Source organism: Homo sapiens, chromosome 1 (genome assembly GCF_000001405.40).
Source record: "Homo sapiens chromosome 1, GRCh38.p14 Primary Assembly".
In the NCBI taxonomy this organism is placed as follows: Eukaryota; Metazoa; Chordata; class Mammalia; order Primates; family Hominidae; genus Homo; species Homo sapiens.
This window is the reverse complement of record NC_000001.11, coordinates 246,355,790-246,378,074: the sequence shown is the minus strand read 5'-3', so window position 1 is coordinate 246,378,074 and position 22,285 is coordinate 246,355,790. Positions and strand designations below refer to the sequence as shown.

Below are 22,285 nucleotides of genomic sequence, written 5' to 3'. Positions count from 1 at the left end.
TATGAACAGGCAGTTGATAAAAGGGAAATTATGCATGGTGAATAGACATGAAAAGATGCTCAAACCCTGACCATTTGTCAAGGGAAAGCACATTGAGATAACATTTTCACCCATCAGACCGGCAGAATGTGAAATGACGGTATCAAGAGGTGATGAGATACAGATTTAGGGGAACTCTCATTATATGGCTGTGAGAGTGTAAATTCCTCCAGCTGCCTTGGAGACCTGTTTGTCAATATGCAAAATTGTTCAAGTTGTGCTTTCTTGCAACTCAGCAGTTTTACTTCTAGGAATACATACTTTAAAGAAATGGAATGAGAGTGGAGTCCGGAGGCCTCTGGGAGTACCCATGGGACTTTCAGGGATTTAAGTGAAAACTATTTTCATGATAATAATTCAGAATTATGGTTGGGCATGGTGGCTTACGCCTGTAATCGCAGCACTTTGGGAGGCTGAGGCAGGTAGATCACCTGAGGTTGGGAGTTCAAGACTAGCCTGACCAACATGGAGAAACCCTATCTCTACTAAAAATACAAAATTAGCCAGGTGTGGTGGCAGGTACCTGTACTCCCAGCTACTCGGGAGGCTGAGGCAGGAGAATCGCTTGAACCCGGGAGGCGGAGTTTGTGGTGAGCTGAGATGGCGTCATTGCACTCCAGCCTGGGCAACAAGAGTGAAACTCCGTCTCAAAAAAAAAAAAAAAAAGAATTATTTGCCTTTTTTATTCTTATTATCTCATGAGTATACTGTGGGTCTTCCAGAAGCTACATTGCAGTAGATTGAATGAAGAAACATAAAAAAAATTAGCTGCTTTCTATTAAGCCAGACATTAAAAGGATTATCAAAAAAGTAAAACATTACCACTTTCCTCACTAACTTATTTTTGTTTTGAAAAATTTAGTTATTTTTTATTAAAATATGTTGACATGTAATAGGATTCTTACTTTTGAATGAATTAATACGTTATTATTATTATTTTGAGACAAAGCCTCTGTCGCCCAGGCTGGAGTACAATGGTGTGATCTCGGTTTACTGCAACCTCTGCCTCTCGGGTTCAAGTGATTCTCCTGCCTCAACCTCCTGAGTAGCTGGGATTACAGTTGTGCGCCACCATGCCCAGATAATTTTTGTATTTTTAGTAGAGATGGGGTTTCACCATGTTGCCCAGTCTGGTCTTGAACTCCTGACCTCAGGTGATCCGCCCACCTCAGCCTCCCAAAGTGCTGGTATTACAGGCGTGAGACACCACTCCCGGCCAATACGTTATTTTTTTAACGTCTTAATTTTAATCTGTAATACATTAAATATCAGTAGAGAAGTCGACCTAAGTAAAGCCTCTTTAAGATCCTTCAGTAATTTTTAAGTCAGGACTGAGACCAGAAAGTTTTGGAAAGAATTGTATAAGTGCACAGTTCAAGTATGTGTTCATTGTAATGTTGTTTATACTGGTTTATTTATGTTTAGTTTTTTTTTTTTTTTTTTTTTAGATGGAGTGTCGCACTGTTGCCCAGGCTGGAGTGCAGTGGCGTGATCTTGGCTCACTGCAACCTTTGCCTCCTGGGTTCACACCATTCTCCTGCCTCAGCCTCCCAAGTAGCTGGGATTACAGGCACCTGCCACCACGCCTGGCTAATTTTTGTATTTTTAGTAGAGATGGGGTTTCACCATGTTGGCCAGGCTGGTCTTGAACTCCTGACCTCAGGTGATCCGCTCACCTCGGCCTCCCAAAGTGCTAGGATTTGGGCTCCCAAAGCTACTGTGCCCTGCTTGTTTATAATAGCTTAAAACATTGTTATCAACACTAATGTCCATCAATATGAACATAAGATCGGTTCTATCAATATGAAATAGCAAGACACGTAGAGAGCTGTGTGTGTATATATATGTAATACTGTAATATTTATACCATCATATTTATATCTTAATCAGACCATATCTGTTTTCCAGACATTCCTTTATCACGTGTCAAAATAGTTTTTTTGAGAAGCTAGGCATATTTCTAAGTAATAATAAAGTCCAAAACTTTATTAAGAATTGGATTTTAAGGCCAAGTGTGGTGGCTGATGCCTGTAATCCCAGCACTTTGGGAGGCTGAGGCTGGTGGACCACTTAAGGTCAGGAGCTTGAGACCAGCCTGGCCAACATGGTGAAACCCCGTCTCTACTAAAAATACAAAAATGAGCCAGGCGTGGTGGTGCACACCTGTAATCCCAGCTACTTGGGAGGCTGAGGCAGGATTGTTGCTTCAACCCAGGGGGCGGAGGTTGCAGTGAGCCGAGATCATGCCACTGCACTCCAGCCTGAGTGACAGAGCAAGACTCTGTCTCAAAACAAAAACAAAAACAACAACAATAAAAAAATTAGATTTTAGCCAGTTCACATTATTGCCGATCTTTTGACCTTAATTTTGAAGGGCAGAAATATAAGTATTAACACGTGCTGCTCTATTTGACTAGAAAATAAGCAGCATATGTAAGACTTGGTATGCTAGAATGTAGAACATCTTCGCTGTGTTCTTTCAGGACCACTGTACTGTTTACTGACAAGGAGGAAGCACCATTTTGTTACATCTTTGTGAATACACTTCCACTGTAGTGGCTTAAACAAATAGTTAACTTATTTTTCTCATCCAAAAATTGGAAGTTGGCTATTTGATGTAACAGAGTGGTGGCATTTACTCTCATGTTGTGTCTTGTGCTGAGAAGGTTGAAAATTGGTAAAAAAAAAAAAAAAAAAAAAAAAAAAAAAAGTCTCTCATTAGAAATGTAGTTCATTTTTATTATTTCCAGTAGGTATGTTTTATAAAGTTACTGTGAAAACTGAATTAGCCAATACTGAGCCATTCATTCCTCCTAGTAGATATACAGGATTAGGTTCCTGAAAGCCTCTAGTCACAACATATTTGTCACCTGATCAGTACATAACCTTGTTTTATTATGTGTTTCTTTTTAAAGACACCTTATTTTATTTTTTTTAATTTTTGCTACGGAGTCTTACTCTGTTGCCCAGGCTGGAGTGCAACAGCGCGATCTCGGCTCACTGCAACCTCCACCTCCCAAGTTCAAGCAATTCTTCTGCCTCAGCCTCCCGAGTAGCTGGAATTACAGGCATGAGCCACCATGCCCTGCTGATTTTTGTATTTTTAGTAGAGATGAGGTTTCACCATGTTGGCCAGGCTGGTGTTGAACTCCTGACCTCAGGTGATCCGCCTGCCTCGGCCCCCCAAACTGCTGGGATAACAGACGTGAGCCACGGCGCCTGGCCAGTAGAGATGGGGTTTTGCCATGTTGGCCAGGCTGGTCTTGAACTCCTGACCTCAAGTGATCCACCAACCTCGGCCTCACACTCCTGCTGGGATTACAGGCATGAGCCACTATGCCCGGCCACCTTATTTAATATATATTGTTGATTCATTAACATTGAACTCAGGGTCAGCAGCACCATAACTTATGCCTCAGTGAAGCTTATCTAAAACATGCATTTTCTCTGTGAGGCATATATTACAACTTTCTTGTGCTTAGGGACACGAGACAGCACTGTGGTACTGTGCTTAGGGGCCATATTATACAGTCAAATCGAGAAAAATGAGAAAAACAGAGCACCAAGTGGTCTGCAAAAAGGACGCTTACACTGTGAGAGCTGAGAAGGCAGTGTCTTCTTGTTTGACTTCAGCTGGGAACATACATATTGGGCGACACACATTTTTGGCCTTTCCTCTTCTGTCCACAACTGACTGCAGACATGCTGTGACTGTTGATTTTGGAGTTACAGATAAATATAAGTGAATAAGTGAATTTGCAAATATGGAATATATGAATAATGAGAAGTGAGTGTACCTGTTTACAGGTCATTAGCCAAAACCGGGCCACATGGCTTGTTCTTAGAGTGGCCAGTGCCCATGAGGGATACATTTTTTTTTTAAGTTTAGATTAATCATGATTTATTCCCCGGCTCTGGCAATCTCCTCTCCCTGAAATCAAGAGTTCTGTGTTTGCTACATCAGCAAATCACAGTATTTCTTCATGCTAGGAAAGAGTGGGGTGGTTTTTGGGTAAACAATGGACAGTGCCCACTGTGTTTCTAATTAAGTGCTTGGCATTTGGAAGGGGGTCAGTATATTTTTGTTGAAAGAATGAATCAGTGAATGAATGGCAGGGTTGTTTTGTGGAATAGCCTTTAATTTCTGTCATATCTTGCTTGTTAAAGATTTCTCCATGTCTATATTTTCAAACAAGTAATGTTTTGATTGACTAACTCCAAATCAAATAAAAGTTAATATAAAAGAATAAAGTTTTACTTTATCTGGGTGACCTTCAAGTTCATATAAGTCAAAGAAAATGATAAAATATGAACCATCAGATGAAGTTGAGACATCTTTTCAGAAAAAGGCTGAGCAACCCAAGTTCCATATGGCAAAAGCTTTTCTTCTTTTTAATAACGGTTTCTTTTCTGAAATGATTGCTTTTTATATTGTGGAAGATATTAAATCCAGAACTATTAGATTTTTGTATTTAGCATATGATACTGATTTTATTATTGTAAGTTGTCAGCTTCTCATGTTATCAAAAACTAAGAAATATTTCATTTGATAACATCCTTTGTAGCTAATGCCAGTTAGAAATAAATTCAATTAATAAAGAATATTTAATTTAAATTATGTTTGAATAAAGTATATATTTGTGTTTACTATTCTAAACATTGGAATAAATTGTAATTAAAGCTGACATACCTATCTGTCTGTCTGTCCTTCTCTCTATGCCCTGCGTTAGACTAGACACAATTTAAGGCTGTTAAATAATACATATTTCCTTTTCATTAATGTTTATGTTTATTTGATCATGGAAGTAAAATAATCTTGTTATATAAAACTGAAAAATGGAAAAAATAAAAGGAGGGGGAAATCACCCCAATTCGTATCATTTAAAGAAAAAAATCAATATTTTGGTCTATTTCTTTTCAGTCTTTTTTTTAATACATTGAAAAAACTTAATTTTACAATGTATATGTGATATGAAAATTCCTTTTGACATTCTAGGTAGCTTTTATTATTATGATTAGAATACCTTTAGGGGTGGATACATTTATTCATTGCCTGTAGATGGAGAGCAGTAAATGAAGCAGCCAGGCTTAAAGTACAGTTCTCTTCAGTTCTCTTAGAATTTTTCCTCCTCCTTGTACTTTCTGTATTTCATACTTGAGAGCATGTTGGGCCTGACTCCAAACTTTATGGAAAATGAAATGTTCTTATACATTCTAACTCCCTTTTTGTTATACTGCATTTTCTCCTCTCTCCTGACCTCAGGTGACCCGCCTGCCTCGGCCCCACAAAGTCCTTGGATTACGGGCGTGAGCCACTGCAGCTGGCCAGTAGAGATGGGGTTTCGCCATGTTGGCCAGGCTAGTCTCTAACCCCTGCCCTCAAGAGATCCACCCACTTCCGCCACCCAAAGTGCTGGGATTACAGGCTTCTTTCTAGGCTTTTTAAATGTTCAGCACTGTTATCTCCTCTTTCTGTACCTACTCTATGCAAAATCTCTATTCCTAAAATCTCAGCTAAGTGGAAAAAGGAAGTAAGATTATCTGAATAAATTAATTCATACTAAGTGCAAATGACTTGTAGTCATAGCCTTTTAGAGGGATGTCTATACTTCATCTCAAGGTATTCTTAAACTCTCTGGCTGCTACAGACATGTGCTAAAAAAATAGAATAAAAAGATATGCTCAAACTCAGATGGGTGTTTGATAAGAAAAATATCTGAGTGGTATTTTAGGGCCATGGAGAGCCTTCTCTTGGGCATACAACATGCTCACTAGAGGAGGGTCAGCAGGCATCAAAGTGCTTGCACCAACCCCCGTTAACTGTCGTTCCATGGCTATCAGCAGATGATTGACCTCTTAATAAAAATCGATGAGAATTTGTAATTAATTATAGTGCACTTGCAGCTGTAACATTTAATTCCATGTCTCTTAAGGCCTCTTCTTTGAAGGTTTCTTTACTTAGGAACTAGGCAGCATGCTAGTCTTTCTTTATAAACTTAAAGTGTCATTTTATTTTCCAAAAGAGAGAATGAATTAATTGAGATTTTGTCATTGCTTAGTTCCAAGGAGACTTGAGGCAATTTACAGTTAAAAGTTAAACAAAGTATTATACATAATTGTAAAACAGAAGAGCAAATATTTAAAGCAGGCAGAAGGAGAAGATGGCTTCAGGCCTCTTAAATGAACAAACGACTCCAATTAGTGAATTTAGCTTTTGATTTTCCCACCCCCGAAGCTGAAGTGGAAGCATGGTGCTGATGTGTTGTTTTCTAATTGGAGGAAGTAAGAGAGAGAATTTTTCTAGAGTGACAAAATATTTTCTGGAACTGAACTCAAGGTGGGCATCTGTTGCCATTTTGAAGGCTTACGTCATAGTATGTTATGAAAATATTGATCAAATATTGTTATACCTTATTTGAAATTTTACCCATGGTACTTTTTAAAAATGTATTTACTGTGATATTTGTACTAGCAATAGTTATACACCTAAAGGGTGTTTGATTTCAATCTTTGGGAAAAATCAGATTTTTTTCTTCTTCCTCATTTTTTAAAAATTATTTTAGATTTCAAGAAGACTTAGGGAAATTGAACACATCTCTTAGATGATCAGAGTTGTGTTACTAGACTAGACTGAAGAGGTTGCTTATTTAGGGACGGGTGTTGTTACTAGAAAAAACTTCCTTTTCTGCAGTTCATCTTGGTCACAGCTTTCTCCAGTCTACTCACTGTGCTCCACCTGAAAAACAAGCCAGTGTATTTTAATACCGATTCTTAATTCACTTATTTCCAATGATTAGCTGTCCGAGTGACTTACAACAGGCAGTGTATAATCTTTTAAATACTGTTAGTATGATGAGGAGAGTTTAGAACCGTGTTGTTATAAAACATAAGGACCCTGGCGTTTTAATTTGCTCCTTAGCTTGTTACAGACATTACCTTGCCTAAAGCAAACAGAATGTTAGGAGTTGTAATTGCCTTTTAATATTATTGAATATTTAATAGTCTTTTCAAATTTCATTTCTACAAATGCAACCTTCAAAAAGCATTTTTACAACTTTAAAGTTGGAGCTTCTTGAATTAGACCACTTTGAAGTCAGTTATTCTGATCACATTAAAACTTATGACTTCAGTGAATGTAGATTGAGGTATCAAATACTTAGGATACTAGTCAAAATTTGAAATTAGAGCCAAGTAGTCTGGCTACATGTGGGTTTCAAAAAGTGGTATTAATAAATGGTCTGTGTACCTGTGTGGAGATGACGACATTTGTGACACACGTAGATGTAGCTTTTTTCCGTTTTTAGTAACCATGGAAGTGATATAGAAGAAACTTTTCTGATAGAGATGGACAAAACTATCCTGAACAATTTGAGAATACACCCAGCAGCCTCAGTTTTAACTCTGCACTAAATACTTTGCTTGGTGCTGTGTTAGCAGGCGCTCCATATAGATTATCTCATAGTTTGCCTTGCAGTCCCGTGAGTAAGTCACTTATTCCCACTTTGCAGAGGAGGAAATTGAGGCTACAAGATGTTACAAGGGTACGCCCCTAGTAAGTATTGCAGGTTTTGAACCCTAAACTACTAAAACCTTTTATTTCCTTGTCCCCCAAAATAGTCCTACCATTCTCTGCCACTCACTCTTTATTCATCAGAAAGTGACATTTCCTTCACCTGAACTGGGGTCCTGTATAGTCTGTGTCACTTCTCAAAAAATGGTTTTGTATTATGGTTCATTCTGCAAGTGATGTGTGTTGGTCTGCCTTTCTTGATTGCCATCTCCAAGAAGCAGTGACTGCATTACCCTCTCCACTGTCATCCACCCGGGACGTTATGCGATGATGCCCATGGTGGCCGGTTGCTGAGCACTTGTTGAATTCACACCTGGGGTTTGTGTTTATCAGATGGCACAGGCTCCACAAGGATATTAGCTTTAGTTTAGAGGGTTGCAGACAGTGGAAGGGGAGTACTCAAGCAGCTGGTCTGCCTCTCGGATTCTAACTGGGTCCACATATTTTGCTGTGCTTTTCCCAAAGTGCTGGATTTAAGGTGCTTGTGTTTCTCCTAGGAAGGTATGGTGCCAGTGAAGTATAGATTAATTTTCCTCGAAATACTAACCATTACATTTTTTTTTTTGTTTTATACTTTGTGTTAGAAATGTGAAATAAGATGAAATGGAATGTAGAAAAAGGAATCCCAGGCTGGGTGCAGTGGCTCTAATCTAATCACGCCTCTAATCTTAGCACTTTGGGAGGCTGAGGTGGGAGGATTGCTTGAGTCCAGAAGTTTGAGACTAGCCTGGGCAACATAGGGAGACCCTGTCTCTACAAATAATTTAAAAAATTAGCCAAGTGTAGTGGCATGCACCTGTGGTCCCAGGTACTTGGGAGGCTGAGGTAGGAGAATCACCTGAGCCTGGGAGGTAGAGGCTTCAGTGAGCTGTGTTTGTGCCATTGTGCTCCAGCCTGGGTAACAGAGCGAGACCCTGTCTCAAAAATAAAAAAGAAAGAAAAATGAATCCAAATCAATTCTATTTTCCTATGAGTCTGTACAATTTTGACCACATCTACTGGTGTGTGTTAATAGCCATTTGATAGGTGGATGGTGGGTGTAATCACTTCAATTTTTAAAAATTCTGAAATTTTCCCAAAAATAACTAGGAAAAATATTCTAAGGATTATAAACATTCAAAGGTTTATAAAATTCTGAATTTGTGTACAGTGGCTAAACTAGTTAATATATTAGTATTGTTTAATCTGTTAGTACTAAGATATTTCAGATGATATCTAGAAACATCTTGAAAGTTTGCAATTTAAAAATCTTAAAATAATAGTAAAACTGTGATGATAATGAGTAATAGTTACCGAGCACTTCTGTGAACCAAGCATGATATTAAGTTTTTAAGTTTCATTTAAATCTCAGGGCCCATGTAATGTTATTATTATTATTTATGCTCATTTTAGTTCAGTGGTTTTGAGAGGTTAAACTGCTTAGTATTACACAGCTGCTAAGTGGTTGTATTAGTCAGATTTCTCTAGAAGGACAGAACTAATGGAATATCTATCTATCTTTCTATCTGTATATATGAGTTTATTAAGAATTAACTCACATGATTACAAGGTCCCAATATAGGTCATCTGCAGGCGGAGGAGCAAGGAAGCCAGTCTGAGTCCCAAAACTGAAGAACTTGGAGCCTGATGTTTGAGGGCAGGAAGCATCCAGCATGGGAGAAAGGTGTAGGTCGGGAGACTAAGCCAGTCTAGCCTTTTCACGATCTCCTGCCTGCTTTGATTCTAGCTGTGCTGGCAGCTGATTAGATGGTGCCCACCCAGGTTGAGGGGGGGTCTGCCTTTCCCAGTCCACTGACTCAAATGTTTATCTCCTTTGGCCACAACCTCATAGACATACCCAGGAACAATATGTTGCATCCTTCAATCCAATCAAGTTGACACTCAGTATTAACCATCACAGAGACTTTTAGGTAATTAAGACATGTTACTAGGAAGGAGCTCTGAATAATGAGTTGATTATATAGGAATGTGTTGTAGATGAATTTTTTTCTCTATAGGAAGTTTAAAGTGGATTCTGTGGGTCCCAGGGCTGGGGGGAATTTGGGAGTCACTAGGATTTTTTTGTTTTCTATATCCATTCCAGGAAACTTCCTTCCTACTGTCTGGTAACTGGTTTTATGGTTTTAGCACAGAGTTTCTAAACATGGACATACTCTTTCCCTCTGACACCCAAGAAGGATAGAGAGATGGTCCCTAAGATAGTACCCCCATAGTTGAGATTTGAGTGACTCAATTAATTTCACGCCCCACTTCTTAAAAATTTCTTAGAGATGGTTGTTCCTGCTATACCCATATCTAAGTTTTTAATTTGTATACTGGAAGACTGAAGAACAATTAATTTTGCCCAGTTTTTATTTTCTTTTTACATTTCAGTAGCTTAGGCTGTTGGAGAAACTAATTATGGCCCAGCCTATACCCAGAAGAGAGGACTTAACTTGTGCTCCATGAACCACTGTGTCTGGGACACTGAGTAACCTAAGAATTTTCTTTGATATGACACTCCGTTCTCTAGAGTCAGGTTTGTATGAACAAGTGATAGGGGATTCCTTTTTGCTTTTTTTGAAGAGGGTGGGTTGCTAACGATCCCATTTATTTTGGTAAAAAATAATATCAATATCTTCTCTTATTTGGTGGTACAATGCTAATATTCATCTTTGAAATGAAGGGAAAAAAGGTAAAAATCACTTTTCTCTGACTGATACATTCCTCACTTATTTTTTTAAGATTATTTTTTGGCTGGGCATGGTGGCTCACGCCTGTAATCTCAGCACTTTGGGAGGCTGAGGTGGGCGGATCACTTGAGGCCAGGAGTTCGAGAGCAGCCTGGCCAACACAGTGAAACCCCATCTCTACTAAAATACAAAGATTAGCTGGGCGTGTTTGTGCACGCCTGTAATCCCAGCTACTCAGGAGGTTGAGGCATAAGAATTGCTTCAACCCGGGAGGCAGAGGTTGCGGTTTTTCATTCAGAAACTCCAGTTCTGGATCGACTTTTTAGACAAACACTCTGCAAACAGCATGTTCTCTACCTTTCTGAGACCACCATACTTTGCCTTAAAATATGCACAATTTCTGTCATCTTCAAATTTAGTTTATATTTATTGGTTGCACAAGAGAAACAAAACCAAATAATTTTGGAGTTGGAAGAAAACTTATCTAACTCCTTCTCTTTTGCAATACTGGAAATTCTCTTACCTCATGTCTAGCAAATATACTTACTACTAGATTCTCCTTAAACATGTCAAGTCACTGGGAACCCTACGCTTCTCAAGGCATTGCATTAGACTTCTGAACAGTTGCTGTCACCAGAAAAATCGTTACAATTTAGGTAAAATCTGCCCTCCTCTAACTTCCATTCACTATTTCTTGTTTTAGCCTCTGAAGCTACCTAAAATAAGTGGTCCTTTTTCTATAAACTGCTAATTAATTATGTTTTTGATTTGACATAGACATTTCTCTTTTTTTCCCCAAAAAATACGGCTTTGTTGTTCAATTTGAAATGACATGTGGTGATTTTTTTTTTTTTTTTTTTTTTGAGATGGAGTCTCGCTCTGTCGCCCAGGCTGGAGTGCAATGACATGATCTTGGCTCACTGCAACCTCCACCTCCCAGGTTCAAGCGATTCTCTTGCCCCAGCCTCCTGAGTAGCTGGGATTACAGGCACACACCACCATGCCTGGCTAATTTTTGTATATTTAGTAGAGACAGGGTTTCACCATGGTCAGGCTGGTCTCAAACTCCTGACCTCGTGATCCGCCCACCTCAAAGTGCTGGGATTACAGGCGTGAGCTACCGTGCCTGGCCAATTTTGTTTTTGAGATGATTCTATGCTCCCCAAGCGTGTCACTGAGGTTGAAATTACAGATGTGGCCCTCTTGCTTTTTTTTTTTTTTAAGAGAAAAAGAAGGTTTTCTCGTACTGTCTGGTGGCTGTGTTTCTGCTGACCTCCTGTTCCCTCTCACTGCTGCCCAAGTATTTTCTCTGCAGGGGAGCCTGCCAGGGGGCTGCTGCTCTGAACCATGCCCCAAAGAGAAAAGCAGTAACATATCAAAGTTTCAGTAGTTGGTTTAATCAAGCACACATCACTTTTTTCTTGGACTCAACTTGCCTTTTTTTTGAAAGTAAGAATTTAGATTTATTTATTTAGTCATTTAATATGTAAAAACAATCCCAAACATTTAAATAACTCATGTTAAGGAATTGCCATCACACCTTAAATGACACATAAATTATTCAAGTACTCTGAATTATCTTGTTAGTTAGTTTACCAAACTTCTGTGTCAACATTTATTATAGCGTTTTTTTGGTAGCTATGGGAGGGAGGAGGAAATGAAGGATTGATATTTGCTAGGTGTTCATCACCTGAGCTTCTTAGGTATCTTGATTCTGCTCGTTATTTTTTAAAATCAAGAACAAACATTTTGTATGTACTTGTGGATCTTTATTTTTAGCCAACAGACATAGCCTCTGATTAACTTAGACAAGAGAGAGGGAAGTGAGAAAATCTGAGGAGCCAGGTCTAGGGAAGGCAGGGTTCAGAGCAGCCCTGGGGAATTCATCTTAAAGAGGTTTGCTAAAGAAAGAACCCTCTCCCAGTTTTGGCTGCGGTTCTCAGATTGGCTTGGCATTCTATGCTGGACAGCTTTTGGCGATTTGGGGCCTCCTTGTTTACAGGTCTGTTGGAAGTTAAGTTGCCTTGTTTCCTACAATAAAGATACTGATTTAATTCTGCTCTCAGAACCACTCATAGTTTTTTCCACCCAGTCATATTTTGAGGTTTGTTATTGATGTTTTCCAGGGTGGGGAGTGGTGATTAGGTTTTACTGTCCTACTTTTTTTTTATGGGGAGAGTCGAGGAGATTAAAAAATTACATCACTGCCATCATTTCCCCAGAATTCCCTTGTTTTTAACCCGACTGAATCTTGAGTAATATTCTTATATTCCTAATTTTTTTTTTTTTTTTTTTTTTTTAGACAGGGTCTCACTCTGTTGCTCAGGCTGGAGTGCAGTGGTGTGATCACAGCTCACTGTAGCCTCAGTCTCTCGGGCTCAAGCCATCCTCCCACCTCAGCCTCCCAAGTAGCTGGGACCACAGGCTTGTGACACCATGCCTGGCTAATTTTTTAATTTTTTTTTTTTTTGTAGAAATGAGGGCTCACTATGTTGCCCAGACTGGTCTTATTCTTATCTTCTTTATCTACTTATTCTTTATCTTCTAGATCTATGAATTTCTGAAAGAGAATTTATAATGTCTAACTCTTATATGGTACCTGCTGTATTCCAGGCCCTGCTTTAACTTATTGTATATGGGTCATTTTTTCCTTAGAGATCTGTGATGTATACTTTATAGATTTTGAGACTGGGTATATTGGTTACTTTGTATGTAACAGTTGGTGATGGAAGTCTTTTGTCACTGTGTATTGGCTTTATCTCTATTAATGCTTTTAACCTTCAAGTCTCTTTTTTTCAGAAACTTATGTAGTTACACAGGCTTTTTTTGAGTTCATATTTGTCTGAACTATCCTTTTCATTCCACCATTGCATGTCCTTTTGTTTGAAGTGTGTCTCATGAACAGCTAAGTGTTGACTTGATTGTATCCAGTTTCACTGAAGAATGGTAGTGTGGTGTGTGGTTACAATCAAGAACTCTAGGGCCCGATTGTTTGGGTTTGGCTTGTTGCTGGAGTATTGATACCTAGAAGCTAGAGTTCTGCACTTGGGGGTGGATGGAATTTTTTGATGTTGCTTTATTTAGACTTTTAACCACTCCCCATGTTTTACGTCCCATAACTCACTTCTGTTCTTTCAGGGGTGAGGTACCTGATGTATTCAAGTTCTGATTCTCTATAGGATTCCGTTTTTATCCTTTCAGTATCACCTGCCACTTTCACTTTATGGTGTGATGCCTTAGCAGTGTGTACTACTCCATCTACTTTTTATCTTTTGAAAACGTATTGAAATATCTCTAAAGTCGGCATAATAAGACTGCTTACCTTATACAGAACTGTTTCAAATTTAGTGTGAGTTAATAGATGTAAAGAGCTTCGTACTGTGCCTGTCATATCAGAAGTGCTTAGAAAGAGCTGTTCTGTTTTGTCATTGATGTTAGTATTATAGGTTGACTTTTAGAGCCCTTGACCACCTTGAAACTATACACAGTCCCGTCTGATCCTTGTCACTGTGAATTTTACCATCAGATTTATTGTTTTTATTTTACAATTCAGGTTTTTTTTTTTTTTTTTGGCTTACAACCACACGCATTTATTACCTTACAGTCCTGGAGCTCACAAATCTGAGATGAGTCTTATGGGACTAAAATCCAGATGTTGGCTTCCTCTGGGAAGCTCCAGGGAAAATCTGTGTCCTTGCCTTTTCCAGCTTGTCCTGCATCCCTTGGTTCAGTGTCTTCCTCCATCTTCAAAGCCAGCAACTGACCATCTTCCAGGTTCTTTTTCTCAGATCCCAGCACCACATTGACTTCTCTGACTCTAAGCCTCCTGCCTCTCTCTCTTTTTTTCTTTTTCCTTTTTATTTATTTATTTTTTTATTGATCATTCTTGGGTGTTTCTCACAGAGGGGGATTTGGCAGGGTCATAGGACAATAGTGGAGGGAAGGTCAGCAGATAAACAAGTGAACAAAGGTCTCTGGTTTTCCTAGGCAGAGGACCCTGCGGCCTTCCGCAGTGTTTGTGTCCCTGGGTACTTGAGATTAGGGAGTGGTGATGACTCTTAACGAGCATGCTGCCTTCAAGCATCTGTTTAACAAAGCACATCTTGCACAGCCCTTAATCCATTCAACCCTGAGTGGACACAGCACATGTTTCAGAGAGCACAGGGTTGGGGGGTAAGGTCACAGATCAACAGGATCCCAAGGCAGAAGAGTTTTTCTTAGTACAGAACAAAATGAAAAGTCTCCCATGTCTACTTCTTTCTACACAGACACGGCAACCATCCGATTTCTCAGTTTTTTCCCCACCTTTCCCCCTTTTCTATTCCACAAAACCGCCATTGTCATCATGGCCCGTTCTCAATGAACTGTTGGGTACACCTCCCAGACGGGGTGGTGGCCGGGCAGAGGGGCTCCTCACTTCCCAGTAGGGGCGGCCGGGCAGAGGCGCCCCTCACCTCCCGGATGGGGCGGCTGGCCGGGCGGGGGGCTGACCCCCCCACCTCCCTCCCGGACGGGGCGGCTGGCCTGGCGGGGGCTAACCCCCACCTCCCTCCCGGACGGGGTGGCTGCCGGGCGGAGACGCTCCTCACTTCCCAGACGGGGTGGCTGCCGGGCGGAGGGGCTCCTCACTTCTCAGACGGGGCGGCTGCCGGGCGGAGGGGCTCCTCACTTCTCAGACGGGGCGGCCAGGCAGAGACGCTCCTCACCTCCCAGAAGGGGCGGTGGGGCAGAGGCGCTCCCCACATCTCAGACGATGGGCGGCCGGGCAGAGACGCTCCTCACTTCCTAGATGGGATGGCGGCTGGGCAGAGACGCTCCTCACTTTCCAGACTGGGCAGCCAGGCAGAGGGGCTCCTCACATCCCAGACGATGGGCGGCCAGGCAGAGACGCTCCTCACTTCCCAGACGGGGTGGCGGCCGGGCAGAGGCTGCAATCTCGGCACTTTGGGAGGCCAAGGCAGGCGGCTGGGAGGTGGAGGTTGTAGCGAGCCGAGATCACGCCACTGCACTCCAGCCTGGGCACCATTGACCACTGAGTGAACGAGACTCCGTCTGCAATCCCTGCACCTCCGGGAGGCCGAGGCTGGCGGATCACTCGCGGTTAGGAGCTGGAGACCAGCCCGGCCAACACAGCGAAACCCCGTCTCCACCAAAAAAATACGAAAACCAGTCAGGCGTGGCGGTGCGCGCCTGCAATCGCAGGCACTTGGCAGGCTGAGGCGGGAGAATCAGGCAGGGAGGTTGCAGTGAGCCGAGATGGCAGCAGTACAGTCCAGCTTCGGCTCGGCATCAGAGGGAGACCGTGGAAAGAGAGGGAGAGGGAGACCGTGGAGAGGGAGAGGGAGAGGGAGACCGTGGGAAAGGGAGAGGGAGAGGGAGAGGGAGAGCTATAATTCAGGTTTTTAAAAATATCTGCTTTTTTGTCACCCAGGTGATTTGGGGGAGATAGTTAAAGCATCTCAACTCAGCATGTCTAAAGTAGTAATTGAATTAAATGGAATTTTAAAACCATTTCTCAGGAGGAGTATATTCATAATTAAACTATATGATAATTTAAGACAAAATTTGTATATTTGAAGGGTATAAAATACTTTTAACCAGTTTATGGACTGGATTTGAATTTGATATGGAGAGATCAGTATCTATGAAGTGAAGTAGGGCACTTAAAATGGTTAAAATAGTGAATTTTATGTTACGTATATTCTACCAAAGTTTTTAAAAAGGACATTTTTTTGTGGGGGCGGTGCTGGGGGTGCGTACCACAGCATTCTCCTGTAGTACATGGAGATCTATGGGTCCAGGGCCATGCGTTATTATTTTTTTCTCTGAGATTCTTTTTCTTTTTTAATTTCAATAGGTTTTTGGGGAGCAGGTGGTGTTTGGTTGCATGAATAAGCTCTTTAGTGGGGATTTCTGAGATTTTGGTGTATCCATCTCCTGAGCAGTGTACACTGTACCCAATGTGTAGTCTTTTATCCCTCACCCCTTCCCAACGTTTCTCCTGAGTCCCCGATGTCCAGTGTATCATTCCTATGCCTTTGCATCCTCATAGCTTAGCTCCCACATATGAGTGAGAACATACGATGTTTGGTTTTCCATTCCTGAGTTACTTTACTTAGATTAATGGTCTCCAATTCCATCTAGGTGGCTGCGAATGCCATTATTTTGTTCCTTTTTATGGTTGAGTGTTATTCCATGGTGTATATATATACCACATTTTCTTTATCCATTTGTTGACTGATGGGCATTTGGGCTGGTTCCATATTTTTGCAATTGCAAATTGTGCTGCTATAAATGTGTATGCAGGTATCTTTTTTGTATAATGACTTCTTTTCCTTTTGGTAGAATACCCAGTAGTGGGACTGCTGAATCAAATGGTAGATTTACTTTTAGTTCTTTAGGAATCTCCACTGTTTTCCATAGTGGTTGTACTGGTTTACATTCCCACCAACAGTGTAAAAGTGTTCCCTTTTCACTGCATCTGTGCCTACGTCGATTATTTTTTTGATTTTTTGATTATGGCCATTCTTGCAGGAGTGAGGTGGTATTACATTGTGGTTTTGATTTGCATTTCCCTGATAATTAGTGATGTTGAGCATTTTTCCATATGCTTGTTGGCCATTTGTATATCTTCTTTTGAGAATTGTCTGTCCATGTCTTTAGCCCACTTTTTGATGGAACTGTTTTGTTCTTGCTGATTTGTTTGAGTTCTTTGTAGATTCTGGATATGAGTCCTTTGTCGGATGTATAGATTGTGAAGATTTTCTCCCACTCTGTGGTTTGTCTGTTAACTCTGCTGATTATTTCTTTTGCTGTGCAGAAACTTTTTGGTTTAATTAAGTCCCATCTATTTATGTTTGCTTTTGTTGCGTTTGCTTTTGGGTTCTTTGTTATGAAGTCTTTGCCTAAGCCAATGTCTAGAAAGGTTTTTCCGATGTTATCTTCTAGAATTTTTATGGTTTCAGGTCTTAGATTTAAGTCTTTGATTCATCTTGAGTTGATTTTTGTGTAAGGTGAGAGATGAGGATCCAGTTTCATTCTTCTATAGGTGGCTTGCCAATTGTCCCAGCACTATTTGTTGAATAGGGTGTCCTTTCCCTACTTTATGTTTTTGTTTGCTTTGTTGAAGATCAGTTAGCTGTCAGTATTTGGGTTTGTTTCTGGGTTGTCTATTCTGTTTCATTGTGCCTATTTTTATAACAGTACTATGCTGTTTTGGTGACTGTGGCCTTGTAGTATAGTTTGGAGTTGGATAATGTGATGCCTCCAGATTTGTTCTTTTTGCTTAGTCTTGCTTTGGCTATGTGGTCTCTTTTTTGGTTCCGTATGAATTTTAGGATTTTTTTTTTCTAGTTTTGTGAAGAATGATAGTGGTGTTTAGATGGGAATTGTATTGAATTTGTAGATTGCTTTTGGCAATATGGCCATTTTCACAATATTGATTCTACCCATCCATGAGCATGGGACATGTTTCCATTTGTTTGTGTCATCTGTGTTTTGTAGTTTTCCTTATAGAGGTCTTCACCTCCTTAGTTAGGTGTATTCCTAAGTATTTTATTTTATTTTATTTTTTTGCAGCTATTGTAAAAGGGATTGAGTTCTTGATTTGATTCTCAGCTTGGTTGCTGTTGCTGTATAGCAGAGCTACTGATTTGTGTACATCAATTTTGTATCCTGAAACTTTGCTGAATTCATGTACTAGTTCGAGGAGCTTTTGGATGAGTCTTTGGGGCTTTCTAGGTATACAATCATATCATCAGCAAACAAACAGCAGCAGTTTGACTTCCTCTACTAATTTGGATACCTTTGATTTCTTTCTCTTGTCTGATTGCTCTGGCTAGGACTTCCAGTACTATGTTGAGTAGAAGTGGTAAAAGTGGGCATCCTTGTCTGATTTCATTTCTCAGGGGGAATGATTTCAACTTTTCCCTGTTCAGTGTAATGTTGGCTGTGGGTTTGTCTTAGATAGCTTTCATTACCTTAAGGTGTATCCCTTCTATGCCGATTTTGCTGAGGGTTTTAATCATAAAGGAATGCTGAATTTTGTCAAATGCTTTTTCTGCATCTATTGAGATGATCATGTGATTCTTGTTTTTAATTCTGTTTATGTGGCATATCACATTTGAGTTATGGATGTTAAGCCATCCGTGCATCCCTGGTATGAAACCCGCTTGATCATGATGAATTATCTTTTTGATGTGCTGCTGGATTCAGTTAGCTTGTATTTTGTTGAGGAATTTTGCATCTGTGTCATCAGGAATATTGGTCTGTAGTTTTAATTTTTTGTTAACTCCTTCCCTGGTTTTTGTACTAGGGTGATACTGGCTTCAGAGAATGATTTAAGGAGGATTCCCTTTTTCTCTATCCTCTGGAATAGTGTCAATAGGATTGATACTGGTTCCTCTTTGAATGTCTGACAGAATTCAGCTGTGAATCCTTATGGTCCTAGACTTTTCTTGTTGGCAATTTTTAAAGAATTACTATTTCAGTCTTGCTGCTTGTTATTGGTCTGTTCAGAGTTTCTATATCTTCCTGGTTTAATTTTGGAGGGTTGTATATTTCCAGGAATTTATCCATCCCCTCTAGGTTTTCTAGTTTAGGCACATAAAGGTGTTCATAGTAGCCTTGAATAAACTTTTGTATTTCTGTGGTATCAGTAATATTTCCCATTTCATTTCCAGTTGAGCTTATTTGGATCTTCTCTCTTCTTTTCTTGGTTAATCTTGCTAATGGTCTATCAGTTTTATTTATCTTTTCAAAACCAGCCTTTTGTTTCATTTATCTTTTGCATTTTTTTTGTTTGTTTCAATTTCATTTAGTTCTTCTCTGATCTTTGTTATTTCTTTTCTTCTGCTGCATTTGGGTTTGGATTGTTCTTGTTTCTCCAGTTTTGTGAGGTGTAGCCTTAGATTGTCTATTTGTGCTCCTTCAGGCTTTTCGATGTAGGCATTTAATGCTCCGAACTTTCTGCTTAGCACCGCTTTTGCTGTATTCCAGAGGTTTTGATAAGTTGTGTCACTGTTATTGTTCAGTTCAAAGACTTTTTAAATTTCCATCTTGATTTCATTGTTGACCCAACAATCATCCAGGAGCAGGTTATTTAATTTCCATATATTTGCATGGTTTTGAGGGTTCCTTTTGGAGTTAATTTCCAATTTTATTCCACTGTGGTCTGAGAGAGTACTTGATATAATTTCGATTTTCTTAAATTTACTGAGACTTGTTTTGTGCCCTATCATATGTTCTATCTTGGAGAATTTTCCATGTGCTGATGAATAGAATGTACATTCTGCAGTTGTTGAGTAGAATGTTCTGTAAATATCTGTTAAGTCCATTTGTTCTAGGGTATAGTTTAAGTCCATTGTTTCTTTGTTGACTTTCTGTCTTGATGACCTATCTAGTGCTGACAGTGGAATAATAAAATCCCCCACTATTATTGTGTTGCCGTCTATCTCATTTCTTAGGTCTATTAGTAATTGTTTTATAAATTTGGGAGCTCCAGTGTTAGGTGCATATATATTTTGGATTGTGATATTTTACTGTTGGACTAGTCCTTTTATTGTTATATAATGTCCCTCCTTGTTTTGTTTAACTGCTTTTGCTTTAAAGTCTGTTTTGTCTATAAGAATAGCTACTCCTGCTTACTTTTGGTGCCCATTTGCATGGAATGTCATTTTCCACCCCTTTACCTTAAGTTTATGTGAGTCCTTATGTGTTAGGTGAGTCTCCTGAAGACAGCAGAAATTTAGTTGGTGAATTCTTATCCATTCTGCCATTCCATATCTTTTAAGTGGAGTATTTAGGTCATTTACAGTCAATGTTAGTATTGAGATGTGAGGTACTATTCCATTCATTGTGCTGTTTGTTGTCTGAATACCTTGTGTTTTTTTTATTGTGTTATTGTTATGTAGGTCCTGTGAAATTTCTGTTTTAAGGAGGTTCTATTTTGGTGTATTTCGAGGATTTGTTTCAAGATTTAGAGTTCCTTTTGGCAGTTCTTGTAGTGCTGGCTTGGTAGTGGCGAATTCTCTCAGCATTTGTCTTAAAAGACTGTATCTTACTTCATTTATGAAGCTTAGTTTTGCTGCATACAAAATTCTTGGCTGATAATTGTTTTGTTTAAGGAGGCTAAAAATAGGACCCCAATCCCTTCTAGCTTATAGGGTTTTGTTACAGAGGGGGTTCATAGATATCATGCAAGAAATAATTCAGGGTGAGTCCATAGAGTAAAGTGAAAGCAAGTTTATTAGGAAAGTAAAGGAACAAAAGAATGGCTACTCCATAGAGCAGCCCCGAGGCCTGCTGGTTGTCCATGTTTATGGTTATTTCTTGATTATATGCTAAACAAGGGGTGAATTATCCATGCCTCCCCTTTTTTGACCATATAGGGTAACTTCCTGACGTTGCCATGGCATTTGTAAACTGTCATGGCACTGATGGGAGTGTAACAGTGAGGACCACCAGTGACCTCTGGTCACTCTTATCACTATCTTGGTTTTGGTGAGTTTTAGCAGGCTTCCTTACTGCAACCTGTTTTATCAGCAGGGTACTTATGACCTGTATTGTGTGCCGACTTCCAGTCTCATCCTGTGACTTAGAATGCCCTAACTGTCTGGGAATGCAGCACAGTAAGTCTTAGCCTCATTTAACTCAGCTCCTATTCAAGATAGAGTTGCCCTGGTTCACATGCATGCCTCTGACAGTTTCTGCTCAGAAATCTGCTGTTGCTCTGATAGGTTTTCTTTTATAGGCTACCTGATGCTTTTGCCTCACAGCTCTTAAGAGTCTTTCCTTCATCTTTGCTTTGGATAACCTCTTGACTGTGTGTCTAAGTGATGAGTTTCCCAGGTGTTCTTTGAGCTTGTATTTGGATGTCTAGATCTCTAGCAAGGTCAGACAAGTTTTCCTTGATTATTCCCTCAAATAATGTTTCCAAACTTTTAGATTTCTTTTTTTTGTCTTGGGAACACCAATTATTCTTAGATTTGCATGCTTAACATAGTTCCAAACTTCTTGGATGCTTGGCTCATTTTTAAAAATTCTTTTTTCTTTGTCTTTGATGGATTGGGTTAACTCAAAAGACTTGTCTTCAAGCTCAGAAGTACTTTTTTCTGCTTGTTCGATTCTGTTGCTGAGACTTTCCAGTGCATTTTGCATTTCTCTAAGTGTTTCTTTGATTTCTAGAAGTTGTGATCATTTTTTATTTATGCTATTTCACTGAAGAATTTTCCTTTCATATTCTGTATCAGGTTTTCGATTTCTTTAAGTTGGAGTTCACTTTTCTCTGGTGCCTCCTTGATTAGCTTAATAATTAACCTTCTGAATTCTTTTTCTTGCAATCCGGATATTTTATCTTGGTTTGGATCCATTGCTGGTGAGCCGGTGTGATCTTTTGGGGGGTGTTAAAGAGCTTGTTTTGTCATATTACCAGAATTGTTTTTCTGGTTCCTTCTCATTTGGGTGACTGTGTCAGAGGGGAGACATGGGACTCAAGGGCTGCTGTTCAGATACTTTTGTTCCAAGGGGTTCTCCCTTGATGTGGTGTTCTCCCTCCTCCCCCAGGGATGGAGCTTCCCAAGAGCCAAACTGCAGTGATTGTTTTTGCTCTTCTGGGTCTAGCCACCCAGTGGAGGTACTGGGCTCTGGGCTGGTACTGGGGAGTGACTGCTAAGAGTCCTGTGATCTGATGGAGGTAGCAGGGGCGTGAAGTGGACTCTACAAGGGCCCTTGGTTGTATTTTTGTTTAGTGTGCTGGTTTTGTGTTGGTTGGCCTCCAGCCAGGAGTTGGTGCTTTCAGGAACACATCAGCTGTGGTCCTACAGGGAGGAAGCAAACTTGCCCTAAGGTCGCCTGGTTACCTATTCAGGTTTCTTAGGTGGTAGGCAGGGCCATAGAGCTCCCAAGAGATTATGGCCTTTGTCTTTGGCACCCAGGGCTGGTAGAGAAAGACCACCAGGGGGCAGGGATAGGTGTGTCTGAGCTCAGATTCTCCTTGGCTGGGGAT

General features: G+C 40.1%; 1 protein-coding gene across 7 annotated transcripts in view, besides 1 other annotated feature; it reads left to right on the top strand.

Annotated features, from left to right (window-relative positions):
- The window catches only part of SMYD3 (SET and MYND domain containing 3), a 757,933-nt gene that overhangs the window by 129,205 nt on the left and 606,443 nt on the right, over positions 1 to 22,285 (top strand). The window lies entirely within an intron of this gene.
- Positions 7,499 to 7,705: a silencer, noted in NCBI's record as "fragment chr1:246533672-246533878 (GRCh37/hg19 assembly coordinates)". NCBI's record gives its function as "represses an EF-1alpha promoter that drives an FKBP-Casp9 reporter gene in an ReSE screen in K562 erythroleukemia cells {active_cell/tissue: K562}" and the evidence as "EXISTENCE:reporter gene assay evidence [ECO:0000049][PMID:32094911]".